Below are 14,502 nucleotides of genomic sequence, written 5' to 3' on the forward strand. Positions count from 1 at the left end.
GCACCTGCCACCACGCCCAGCTAATTTTTGTATTTTTAATAGAGACAGGGTTTCACCATGTTGGCCAGGCTGGTCTTGAACTCCTGACCTTGTGATCCACCCACCTCAGCCTCCCAAAGTGCTGGGATTACAGGCGTGAGCCACTGTGCCTGGCCTTTTTTTTTTTTTTTTTTAACTTTTAAGTTCAGGAGTACTTGTGCAGGTCTGTTACATAGGTAAATTTGTGTCATGGAGATTTGTTGTACAGATTATTTCATCACCTAGGCATTAAGCCTAGTACCTACTAGTTATTTTTTCTAATTCTCTCTCTCCTCCCACTCATCACCCTCTGATAAGCCCCAGTGTATGCTGTTCCCCTCTATATGTTCATGTCACACACCTTCCTTTTAAGAAACATCTAAACTTAGTGACACACCTGTTACATTAATTGAATAGAGTAGTATGCATTAACATATAAAAGAAGGAAAGGAACCCTGCTGTAAATTATTGGTGCTATGTAAGTCACAGCTATCCTGACAGACTCTGATCAGTTGAGAGTAGACCAGGAATTCAATGGGATGCAAATCATCAGACTATCTAACTAAATGAAAGATTCCCTGAGAAAGTGGATTGGATAAATAGGCAGGGCCTGAGGGCAATACATGTTTCCTTATCCTCTCCTACTGAATTGAAGAGAACGGCAGGAAAGAGTTTTCCCAGTGAATTCCTTTGAGTTTATTACTGCTTTATTACTTTTGAGTCAGATTCATAGTTCATTAATTTTTACTTTTTTCTTGCATTTGGGATTATAAATTTCCCAGTAAGTAGTATTTGAGTTTCATCCTATACATTATTTACCTGTGATGTTTTTGCTTACATTCAGTTCTAAATATTTCTACCTTCTATTTTAATTTTTTCATTAACCTGGACATATTTGGACGGGCGCAGTGGCTCATGCCTGTGATCCCAGCACTTTGGGAGGCCAAGGCGGTTGGATCGCGAGGTCAGGAGATCGAGACCATCCTGGCTAACACGATGAAACCCCATCTCTACTAAAAATACAAAACGTTAGCCAGGCGTACTGGTGGGCGCCTGTAGTCCCAGCTACACGGGAGGCTGAGGCAGGAGAATGGCGGGAACCCGGGAGGCGGAGCTTGCTGTGAGCCACGATGGCACCACTGCACCCCAGCCTGGGCAACAGAGCAAGACTCCGTTAAAAAAAAAAAAAAAAAAAAAAAAACCTAGACATATTTGAATTGTATTAATTTTGTTAGCATTTTGCTATCGATTTATAATTTATTGTATTATGGTTGGAAAACACCGTGTGTAATATGATTTCTTTAGCATTTGTTGAAACTTCCTTTGTGGATTTATTTTTGTAATGTGTTGTAACATGTATTTTGTAAATGTTCCATGTGTTCTTACAAAGAACACACATTCTCTAATTATTGAGTATGTGGTTCAAAATATGTTCTTTAAACTTATTTGTATTGATCAAATCTTCTCTATCTTTACTAATAGAAAATCTTATTGGATTGATGGATTTGTCAATAATACCATGTGGTTTTGTCCATTTTTGCTACAATATATCTGAGGCTATATTGATAGGTACATACAAATTCAGATTTCCTTTAATCTTTCTATTAAATAGTTGATTTTATCATGTACATAATGGTCCCCTTTACCCTGATAATGTTTTATTACCTTAAATTTTTTTTTAAATTAGTGCTTGCCTTTACTCTGAAATTCCTCCCCCCACCCCATGTTTTAAGCAGGTTTCTGGTAAAATAACTATACACACACACACACTATCCACATTTATTCTAATTACTTATATGATTGGGTTTATTCCCGTCAGCTTTACTCTTTCTACTTGCTGTCAAGAATTGTGAAGGGTCTGAGATTTTATCCTACGTGCAAGCCTGTTATAGTTTCATGGATGCTGGACGAAGACACAAGACTCCTTGGTCAGAGACAAATGACTTTATCACTCACAACAATAGCAGTTGCCAGAGTATCATCATTTGCACCAATTCCCAGAACCCAGTTTTCACAGGACATCATGAAGAGAGCCACGTGACATCTGCACATACCCTGAGCTGTGTTACAGGAGAGAAATCCTGATCTTAGGAAATCCAATTATTTTATACTGGGCAGTAAGCCTGCCTGACCTTTGCCAGAGGAAAACATTATTTTTATTACACCAGACAGTAAACAAACCTAGTCTTTGCTCTGAAGAGGGACATAATCTCTATATTTCAAGGCTGTTATCTATACAAGCACCCTTGAAAATATACTTTGGAACAAATAGAGTCAGTGGTTTTGCTCAAAAGATGTGCAAAAAAACATGAGAGACCCAAGAGGAATTGTACACCCAATACTTAACTATACTATTTTTCCTTTGATGCATTTATTTCCTGACTGTTTTAATTAATTGGATTTTCTATGGTCCCCTTTTCCTTTAGTATTTTGGATGACATACATTATGTCTGTAACATTTTAATTGTTACTCAAAGTATTTAACATGTATAACTAAAACACTAAGTCAACAATCCCTACAATGATCTCTACCTTCCTTTATAATACAGAATCTTAGTACTTTTAACTCTAATCATACATATCTAACAGTCTTACAAGTTATGGTACATATTATCCTCATTCAAATTTCTTCTTTTATAATTCTCAAATTGGGCATTCTAATAATTATTTTGTAATACATCTAATATATTTGCCATTTTCCCCTCACACCATTATTTCTTGCATCCTACTTCTTCCTTCCAGGTTTAATTTCTTCCTTTTTTAAGTATATCATTCAGATGTTCATTCAAGAGGCGAAATAACTAAATTACCTGAATTTTTCTCTAAACTTGCCATTATTTTATTCTTGGTCTTGAATGAAAGTTTTGCAAGCCTTAGAATTCTAGATTGTTAGTCAGTTCTATTGGAAGTTTAAAGATAATGTTCCACTGTGTTACACTGTTGAGGCTATCTGTTGCTGTGCATGAGAATTTAATGTCAATCTAGTAATTGCTCTTTGGAGATAATTATCTGTTGTCTTTTATTGCTTTTAAGATTGTCTATGAGGTATCTCAAAAATAAGTCATAATGCGAATTTGTTTTTATTTATATTGTTCAGGAATTGTACTTTGTTATTTCACAATCTGTCATATTACTAACTCTTCATATGTCTTTGCTGCAATACAAGCAATTTTTTAAACTTATCTTCCAGGGTAATATTTCTCTCCTTATTTGTATTTAATATGCTGTTTATATCCATTTTATTATAATTTGAATAAATATATTTCGAATGTTAGAAATTTTTATTGGCCTTCATAAATGGAGCAGTCCATACTGTCTTATTCTTAAGTTCTTTTTATTTCTTCCTTTCTATTTTTAAACATTTTAAATATAGTCTCACAGGATAGAGATTGAGTCTCTCTCTCTAGAGCAAAGAGCAGGTTTGTTTACTGTCTAGTGTAATGAAGATAGTCTTCCTCTAGGACAAAGGTCTGGCAGGCTTACTGCCCAGTGTAAAAGATCGGGTTTCTTAAGGTCAGGATTCCTCACTTATTACACAGCTCACTGTTTATATAGATGTCACCTGGTACTCTTCATGTTGCCCTGTGGAAATCTGGAAATTGAAGTTCTTGTTTTCTCTGCTGAAATGCATGCTATGATCAATCGTTTTCTTCACTGGGGGAACGAGAAGATAAGCCCATCTGAAGTGGAGCTTTATTTTGTGGAATCTATTGTGGGATAAGGTGTAAGCATGTCCTTTTATAAAGTATTAGTACTTACTTCTGTCAGATACATCAGGATATTAATAGGCACGGATTAACAATAATGTTAATGTCTTGGCTTCAAGTTTCCAAGCAAGAAATACATATGCAAATGTATATTTGGGTATGTATATCCAAACCTATGCTAAATGAAAGCCCAAGATATCTATTTTCCAGGTGAAACGTTTTATTGGCCTAGCCCAGATCACTTGCAGAGATCAGTTTCCTTTCATCTTGTTGCACCTATGGGTATGTTCCTAGTGCACTCCTTTAATGACTGATCAGACATTTAGGGGTCTAAGTTTTTGCAGAGGACTCAGTTCCAATTTCTTATCTCACAAAGGTACAATATCTGCCACAAAGTGGGCACAGAAAGCCAATCCTCCAAGCAGAAGTAGCAGCAACTCAAGTATTCATCCTTCTGCTTTTTTGCTTCCCTCTTCAGGAACCATAGGAATTCATTTTAAATGACTTTTAAGCATTGTTAAAAATGTTTGCCTCACTTAAATTTCCTAAGAATGTATTATTAATAATTACAATTAGTAAAGATTTCTAGTATATAGAATGAAATTCAAATATAGTTTTAAAACATGGTAACAATGCAATAATGAGCTACTTTACCTTTCCTATGAGAAGAAACAAAATCTACACCTCTATTTCCTTATTAGCCATCTTCCTGAAAGAATTACCTTCTTCATCTTATACTTACATTAAACCACAGTAACTGGTTCTGTCTAGATATCTGCATTTATTTCATTTTGACCATTGACTATATTATCGGAAAAAACTAGAAAGTATTTATTATACTGTATTATTCATAATGAATTTCATTTGGAAAAGTTGTTACTTTTCCATGCTCTTACTATGCTGCATAAGGTGGGCCTTAAAGTATCATTTATCACAGAAAGCCATTTATTAAAATGGCATTCCTCATATTAGAATTTGTCCTAGAGGCCATTAATGTTCTCTCCCGTATGAGTCACTCTTCAACTATCTCATAATAATATAAGGCAGCACATTTTAACTTTAATAGGAAGTAACTTGAGAATGTATTGTGTCACTAAGACATTTTCTTATGAGGTTTCTTATAAAATTTTAATATAATAAACATAATAGAGATTTACCAGTGATGACTTTGTAGTTTTTGATTCTTCAAAGCTTGGCCTCTTATACAGATTGCTCAATTCCAAGGATTCTTTGATGTCTTGAGATAATTTCTCCTCAATGGGAGCTTTTTCTAAATCTCTACCTAGCAAAGTGTCCTTGCTTTCAAGTGATACACAGGAATCATCAGACTTTTGATTACTTTCTAAACCTATATTTTTCTCCTTTAAATTTCTTTCAAAGGAGGTGCTTTCCTCAATTTTTTCAATGTCAGAAGAATACACATCAGGATCCACGATGTTGTCAAAATCTGTGTTTGAAGTTTCTGCTGTTAAAAACACACAGTTACAAAAGGTACATAAATAAATTTAAACAAATAATTAAACTGTTAATAAACCAAAAGTTCTGTGGTAAAAAAACTTTCTCAATAAACACTATTTCACAAATTCCTTTACTGATGTTTTAGTGTTAAAATATTTTTACTATGCTTATATTCATAAGTGGTAATCATAATTCACTTATAGAACCAAACATTAATGAGCTAGACTAGTAAAAGAAGGTAATATTTTATTTTGCAATGAAATCTTAAAATTGATGCAAATTTTTATTTCAGCCTGTGGTTCAATTCTCACTTTCCCACCTCCTCCTCTCACTCAAATTTTACAACAGTAATTCATGAGAAGTAACACAGGGGGAACATTTTTTCATTTTGCCATTTTTCCCTAGCATGCCTAGCAATAAAGAGAGGGCACAGGGAAATGTGCCAGATGAAAGAAGAGCAGCAGTTGGGGGCACAGAAAATGTGTAGCAGGGACACCTGCTTCTAGAAAGCTACAAAGTGAACAAGATTGTATTAGTCATCTACCTCATTATGTCTGCTTTAAATAAATCATTTGGTTTACATCACCGGTTTTTAACCTGGTTGCACAGTAGAATCATCTGAAGGCACTCTTTAAAATTGTCAGTGTATGGGCCTGACCCCAAACCAATTAAATCAGATCCTGAGAGTGGAACTCAGGCATTGGTCTTTTGAACTTCCCCTTGCTAAGTTGTCCAGGTGATTATAGTGGGTAACACAGTAGTGAAACACTGGTCTAGATTTTCTGAAAAATAAAAATTCTTTGAATGTTTATACCATACTACTTTCATTTTAAATAAATGTACACCATTATCCAGACTGAATATAGCTTCTTCTGGTTATCCCTTACTCTGTTCCAAAGACAAATATCTCTATAAGTAGACTATGTAAAATAGTAGAAACTCTGAATAAAACTGTCTCCTGTGATGTAAATGCTTTACAGCTTTACAAAGGACTTGCTTGTTGCAATCAAATGTTTATATAACTCACCAATTTCAGATAGTATTTAGAACTAGTGGAAACAAGGAAGTCAAAAGTACCTCTCTCCATAAGACACACCCACACAGGTGCAGAAAAGGCTTTCGACAAAATTCAACATTCATTCATGTTAAAATCTCTCAATAAACTAGGTATTGAAGGAATATATCTCAAAATAATAAGAACCATATATAACAAACCCAGAGCCAACATCATACTGAAAGGGCAAAAGTATTCCCCTTGAAAACTGGCACAAGACGAGGATGCCCTCTCTCACCACTCCTATTCAACATAATATTGGAAGTCCTAGCAAGGGCAACCAGGAAAGAGAAAGAAATAAAGGGCATCCAAATAGTAGGAGAGGAAGTCAAACTATCTCTGTTTGCAGACTACATGATGCTAAATCCAGAAAACCCCATAGCTTAAGCCCAGAAGCTTCTTAAGCTGATAACTTTGGCAAAGTCTCAGAATACAAAATCAATGTGCAAAATCACTAGCATTCTTATACACCAATGACAGTCAAGCTGAGAGCCAAAAGAGCTCCAATAGCTAAGGCAATCCTAAGCAAAAAGAGCAAAACTGGAGGCATCATGCTACCCAACTTCAAACTATACTGAAGAGTTACCAAAATAGCATGGTACTGGTACAAAAACAGACACATAGACCAGTGGAACAGAATAGAAAACCCAGAAAATAGACCACACACCTACAGCTATCTGACCTTCAACAAACCTGACAAAAACAAGCAATGGGGAAAGGATTCCCTATTCAAAAAATGATGGTGGGATAACTGGCTAGCCATATGCTGAAGATTGAAGCTGGACCCCTTCCTTATACCATATACAAAAATTAACTCAAGATAGATTAAATACTTAAATGTAAATCCCAAAACTATGAAAACCCTGGAAGACAATCTAGGCAATAACATTCAGGACATGGGTATAGGCAAAGATTTCATGACAAAGATGCCAAAAGCAATAGCAGCAAAGCAAAAATTGACAAATAGGATCCAATTAAACTAAAGAGCTTCTGTACAGTGAAAGAAACTATCAACAGAATAAACGGACAAACTACAGAATGGGGGAAAACTTTTGCAAACCATGAATTCAACAGAGCTCTAAGAACCACCTTCTATAAGGAACTTAAAGAAATTTGCAAGAAAAAAGCAATCTCAATAAAAAGTGGGCAAAGACATGAGCAGACACTTTCCTAAAAGGGACATACATGTGACCACAATCCTATAAGAAGAAGCTCAACATCACTCATCATTACAGAAATGCAAATCAAAACCACAATGAGATACCATCTCACACCAGTCAGAATGGATATTATTAAAAAGTAAAAAAAATAACAGATGCTGGTGAGGTTGTGCAGAGAAAGGAACACTTATACACTGTTGGTAGGAATGTAAATTAGTTCAACCATCATGGAAGACAGCATGGTGATTTTCAAAGACATAAAGACAGAAATACCATTCAACCCAGCAATCTCATTACTGGGTATATACCCAAAGGAATATAAATCATTCTATTATAAAGATACATGTATATGTATGCTCAATGCAGCACTATTTATAATAGCACAGACAGGGAATCAACCCAAATGCTCATTAATGACAGACTGGATAAAGAAAATGTGGTACATATACACCATGGAATACTATGAAGAAAAACAAGATCATGTACTTTGCATGGACATGGATGGAGCTGGAGGCCATTATCCTTAGCAAACTAACAAAAGAACAGAAAACTAAGCACTAGTTTATAATTTATAAGAGGAAGCTAAATGGTGAGAACACATGGACACTTTAGAGGGGAACAACACACACTGGGGCCTATTGAAGGGTGAGGGTGGTAGGAGGGAGAGGAGCAGGAAAAATCACTAATGGGTGCAAGGCTTAATAAATGGATGATGAAATAATATGTACAACAAACCCCCATGACACAAGTTTACCTATGTAACAAAACTACACGTGTGTCCCTGAACTTAAAAGTTAAAAAAAGGCATGCCTACCAGTGACATGTCAGTTTACCACTGCTATGGCAACATCTGGAAGTTATCACCTGTTTCCCCAGCAACAACCTGATGACCCAGAAGTTGCCACCCCTTTTCCAGAAATTTCTGAGTAACTCATCTTTTAATTTGCATGTAATTAAAAGTGGCTAAAAATATTACTGCAGAGCCACCTCTGAGATGCTACTCTGGGTACAGTGCTTATGGGGTAAATCTGTTCCAAAAGGAACACTGCCTTTGCCACTGCTGTACACTGCTACTTTAATAAAACTTGCTGTCTAACACCACTGGCTTGCATGGTGCAAGCTGTCAGTGGATCTACCATTCTGTGGTCTGGAGGATGGTGGCTCTCTTCTCACAGCTGCACTAGGCAGTGCCCCAGTGGTTACTCTGTGTGGGGGCTCCTACCACATATTTCCCCTTTGCACCACTCTAGTAGAGGTTCTCCATGAGTGCTCTGCCTCTGCAACAGACTTCTACCTGGACATTTAGGCATTTCTGTACATCCTCTGATATCTAGACAGAGGTTTCCAAACCTCAAGTCTTATCTTCTGTGACTCACAGGCCCAACACCATGTGGAAGCCACCAAGGCTTGGGGCTTGCACCCTCTGAATCCAAGGTCCAAGCTGTATCTTGGCCCCTTTTAACCCTGACTGCACTTGGAGCCACTGGGACAGAGTACCATGTCTTGAGGGTGAACAGAGCAGTGAGGCCCTGAGCCTGGCCCATGAAACCATTTTTCCCTTCTAGGCCTACAGGCCAGTAATGGGAGGGGATGCTGTGAGGATCTCAGGAATGCCCTAGAGACATTTTCCCCATTGTCTTGGCAATCAATAGTTGGTTCCTCTTTATTTATACAAATTTCTGCAGCATGTGGCTCGAATTTCTCCCCAAAGAATGGGTGTTTCTTTTCTACCACATGGTCAGGCTGCAAATTTTCCAAACTTTTATGCTCTGCTTCCCTTTTAAACATAATTTCCAGTTTCATACCATTTCTTTGTGAATGCATATGACTATATGCTTTTTGAAACAGCCAGGTCACATCTTGAATGCTTTGTTTTGCTGCTTAGAAATTCCTTCTGCCAGATGCTGTAAATCATCTCTCTGAAGTTCAAATTCCACAGATGTCTAGTTTGAGGAGGGGGCCAAAATGCTGCCAGTCTCTTTGCTAAAGCATAGCAAAAGTGACCGTTACTTCAGTTCCCAATAAGTTCCTCATTTCCATCTGAAACCATCTCAGCCTAGACTTCATTGTCCATTATCACTATAAGCATTTTGGTCAAAATCATTCAACAAGTCTCTAGGAAGTCCTAAGCTTTCCCACATCTTCTTTTCTTCTTCTGAGCCCTCCAAACTGTTCTAACCTCTGCCTGTTACCGAGTTCTAAAGTCACTTCCACATTTTCAGGTATCTTTACAGCACTACTTCACTTTTCTGGTACCAATTTTCTCTGTTAGTCCATTTTTAAACTGCTATAAAGAACTACCTAAGACTGGGTACTTTATTAAGGAAAGAGGCTTAATTGACTCACAGTTCCACATGGCTGGGAGGTCTCAGGAGTCTTATAATCATGGCAGAAGGTGAAGGGGAAGCAAGGCATGTATTACATGTTGGCGAGGGCTGGGGATCTGCCACACACTTTTAAATCATCAGAGCTCACGAGGACTCACTCACTATCATGAGAACAACATGGAGGAAACCACTCCTATGATCCAATCACCTCCCACCAGGTCCCTCCCTTGACACATGGGGATTACAATTTGAGATGAGATTTGGTTAGGAACACAGAGCCAAGCCATATCATAGATAGAAATCTAAAAATTATATACAAGATCTATATGAGGAATTCTACAAATTCTGATTAAAGAAATCAAAATTCTAAATAAATAGAGAAATATTCTATGTTCATGGATGGGAAGATTTAATATTGTTAAGATATTTTTTCCCAACTTGATCTATAGATTCATTGCAATCCCAATCAAAATCCCCGCCTTTTTATAGAGAAACAAATGACCCAGGATAGTGAACACAATATCGAAGAAGAGCAAAGTCAGAAGACTTGATACTACCTTACATCAAGATTACTATAAATCTATAACAATCAAGAGAGTGTGTGGTATTGGAATAAATGTAGACAAATAGATAAATGAAACAGAATAGAGAATCCTGAGTAGACCTATATAAATACAGTCAACTGATCTTTGAGAGAAGAATAAAGGCAATACAACAAAGAAAATATAATCTGTTAAGCAAATGATTCTGGAACAACTGGATATCCACATGTGAAACAATATATATAGACACAGACCTTACACCTTCACAAAAATTAACTCAAAATAGATTACACACCTGAATATAAAATGCAAAGCTATGAATCTCTCAAAAGATAACATAGGATAAAACATAGATGACACTGGCTATGACAATAACTTTCTAGATACAACATCAAAGAAAAAATTGATAAGCTAAACTTTATTAAAATAAAAGCTTATACACTATGAAAAATAGTCCAGAGAATAAACAGGCAATCCATACACTGAAAGAAAATATTTGGAAAAGATATTTGATAAAAGAGTGTTATGCAAAACATACAAAAAACTCTTAAACCTCAACAATAACAAAATAAACAACCCAATCAAAACATTAGCTAAAAACCTGAACAGATATTTTAACAAAGATATACAGTTGGCAAATAAGCATATTAAAAGATTCTCGATATCATATGTCAACAGAGAATTGCAAATCAAAAAAAAAATGAAATATCACTACACAATTGCTAGAATGGAAAAATTCTGAAACACTGGCACCAGATGATGGTGAGGATATGGAGTAACAGGAACTTTCATTAATTGCTGGTGGGAATGTAAAATAGTACAGCTACTTTGGTAAGACTGTTTGGCAATTATTAAAACAAAACTAAACATACCTGTACCATATGATCCAATAGTTATGCTCCTTGGTATTTACCCAAATAAGTTGAAAACTTAAGTCCCAATAAAAACCCATACATGAATATTTATAGTAGTTTTGTTCATAATTGCTAAAGCTTGGAACAACCAAAATGTTCTTCAATAGGTGAATTGATAAATAAACTATTGTACATTCATACAATTGAATATTATTTAGCACTAAAAGAAATGAGAAATCAAGCCACAAAAAGACAAGGAGAAACCTCAAATGCATATTATTAAGTTAAAGAATCCAATTATTAAAGGCTATGTACTGTATGATTCTAACTATATGACATTCTGGAAAGGCAAAACTATGAGGACAGTAAAAAAAATCAGTGGTTGCCAGGAGTTGGTCAGAGAGAGGGATAAACAGGTGGGGCACAGAGAATTTTTAGGACGAGAAGGTATTCTGTATGATACTATAAGTGGTGAATATGTATCACATTATACTTTTGTCAAAACTCATAGCATGTACAATACCAAGAGTGAACTCTAATATAAACTATGGACACTGAGTTACAATAATGTATCAAAGTAGATTCATCCATTGTAGTAAATGTACCAGTCTGGTTGCAGAAGCTGATAATGGGGGAGGCTATGTATGTGTATAGAGCAAAGGGTATATAGGAACTCTCTGTACTTTCTGCTCAGTTTTGCTGTGAACCTAAAACTGCTCTAAAAAGTAAACATTTCAAAAATGTGTCTTTAAAGTAACAATTACATGGGCATTTATGTGCATCATTTTCTTAGAGGCAACAGGAACATCAGGAACTAGCTTGATCAAACTATACTCATCTTCAGGACAAGATTGGAATACTGTCCCTAAATTCCCATGTGGCTGTACTTTATATTTGGCCATAATAATTTAGTGGTTTAGTATTTGAAAATGTCAAGACCAGCAGGATTTACACAAATCTACCACTGCTTTCTATCTTCTGCTGCCCAATCAGAATGTAATCATCAGTTTTACAACTATTTATTTCAAATATGCCCTCCGATATCTCTCAAAAATCTAATCTTCACATACGATATATTTATTAATTTTTCTTAAAATTCTAGGTAGATCAAATCTAATAGTTAAAAGGAGGCTTGAAAATTATCTAGTTCCTACATTTTTGCTTAGGAAAATGAAGTCTAAGCAAGTAAGTGAGATGTTCAAGGTCAGACAGTGATTTAAAGGCACAAATGGAAACAAAATCTGACTCCTAGGCCAGGATACTTTGCTGTGACTGTCTTTAAATGATCTCACAATCTGGAAATTGAAACCACACATATGAACACAGCATTCTAATCTACAGGTACCTAGGGAACTACTAGTAATAGCAACATAGATATATAAGCAAGATGATGTGTTTTGTTTTGTTTTTTTGAGACAGAGTTTTGCTCTTGTCGCCTAGGCTGGAGTGCAACGGTGTGATCTCGGCTTACCGCAACCTCTGCCTCCTGGGCTCAAGCGATTCTCCTGCCTCAGCCTTCTGAGTAGCTGGGATTATAGGCACCTGCCACCATGCCAGGCTAATTTTTTTTATTTTTATTTTTAGTAGAGATAGGGTTTTGCTATGTTGGCCAGGCTGGTCTCAAACTCCTGACTTCAGGTGATCCACCCACCTCGCCTCCCAAAATGCTGGGATTACAAGCTTGAGCCACCGAGCCCGGCCAGTGATTTGTTTTATTTTGGTTCATCTCTCATGTGAAACTTTATATCAGATTTGAATATTTTTGAAAAATATTTAGTGCAAGTGAGAGCAAGAGGGTGCCAGTCAGACTTTTGTCACTGAAAGGCCTTCCATGTAATCTTTTAAATGCTAGCTGAGTCTATAATAACTTTTAGAGTGCCCTATATTGGCTGATTTTTCTTACACATACAAACACTGTTGTCCATTGACTAAATTGCATATTTACTAGAAAATTATATTTTCAACTAATTTTCATTTTAGTACTGAGGTTTTTTTGGTTTTAAAATGAACAGCATAACAAAGCTTTTATAGACTGCAATAGTAAATTATCAACATGCACTGTTAATAATATCCAGCAACAAGAAAAATGTTACCTTTTGAATTATCTTTATAATAAGTAGAGCTGTTTCTCAGACAAAGATTTAAGAAGTCTCTCTTTCCCTTATCGAAAACATGATGTTGATGGATGCCATTTTCATATGGAAAGCTATTCTTCTGACAATCATGAAAAGCACAACTTTCACATGTAGGAACAAACAAAATAATAGAGTTGAAAAAATGATTTTAAAAAGAAAATTTTAAAAGTCCCAAGTCATTAAAACAAATATAGTAAAACTTTAATAGGGTTATTTACATTAATTTAATATTTATTTTAACCTTATGTGAACACATTCTCAACTATAAGTAACTAATAACACTGTGGATTTAAGATGAATAGGTAACTGGACCAAATCTAATTTAACTGCAAAATTTCAGTTGAAAGTTTGTTTTCCAAAATATATTGAAATAAGTTTGATTTCTTACAGTTTCTTCTAAAAAGGGAGTGTTCTCTTTCAAGCTCATTAAAATCTGATGAAATCAAGGCTTTACTACTAGATAAACATATTATTTGTTCATCAACAAGATATGAGTTTAAAAGCAGTATGTGATATTTAGGTTTCAAAGTTTAATAATGATTACTATCTATATGCATAGTTACAATTTAAATAACATTCTTTATGAACTGAATAATATATTTAGTAATACCTGATATTTATATAAGCTCTACAGAATACCATTATAAAACTTCTGGATTATATTCAACCGAAAAGGCCCTCTTGTGTCACTCGTGATCTCCAGGAGAGAGAGAAAATTAATGTAGTTCTATGGGCACCTCCAAACCAAAGCTGTAAAACTACTGCCAAATCATGATCAGTAACTTTCTCTGCCTTCTCTAACACCTTACATAGGAGTCAAAGCAAAGACATGTGATAAGATATATAAAAGAATCCGATTAGAGAACAGAAATGCTATTCATTTCCTTAGAGATAGAGTGGTGCATATAAACCTCTTATCTGCTGAACAGAAAGTTGTCTCCCGCCAAAACCCCACTTCCAAAAGCACATTTGCTGCTAGAGAGCTGGTTCTGTGTGTCTAAACATGGGATTTTTCTGTTCAGGGGAATCACTCAGGCCCATAGCTATTGCAAAATGTGGACGGGGGCCTAAACTGATCTGAATCAAGAATTGGTAGAGGGGATACTTGACAGGAATTCCACTCCACTGTTTACAAATCCTGAAGTTTCAACAGCAGAAAGTAACTGTTTTAACATTACTAACAGATACAGTTAGATATTATTTTTCATTTGGAAATGAGAAAATTCTACAACGCAATTACAAAGTGA

At 35.7% G+C, this 14,502-nt stretch overlaps 1 protein-coding gene across 22 annotated transcripts in view; it reads right to left on the bottom strand.

Annotated features, from left to right (window-relative positions):
* Positions 1-14,502, bottom strand: part of ZBBX (zinc finger B-box domain containing) — a 229,485-nt gene that overhangs the window by 122,359 nt on the left and 92,624 nt on the right. For 19 of the 22 annotated variants that reach the window (XR_924174.3, XR_924173.2, XM_024453753.2 and 16 more), the window contains 2 exons: positions 13,214-13,356; positions 4,883-5,190 (listed from right to left, as the gene is read on the bottom strand). Coding sequence is in view for 18 of the 22 variants with exons in the window: in XM_024453753.2 (XP_024309521.1) it covers positions 4,883-5,190; positions 13,214-13,356 (451 nt within the window). In the remaining 4 variants the exon portion in view is untranslated. Of the gene's footprint in view, positions 1-4,882; positions 5,191-13,213; positions 13,357-14,502 lie in introns of those variants that run through there. The other 3 variants (XM_011513148.3, XM_011513156.2, XR_924177.3) reach the window with 3 other exon arrangements.

This window comes from Homo sapiens, chromosome 3, assembly GCF_000001405.40.
Source record: "Homo sapiens chromosome 3, GRCh38.p14 Primary Assembly".
NCBI lineage: Eukaryota > Metazoa > Chordata > Mammalia > Primates > Hominidae > Homo > Homo sapiens.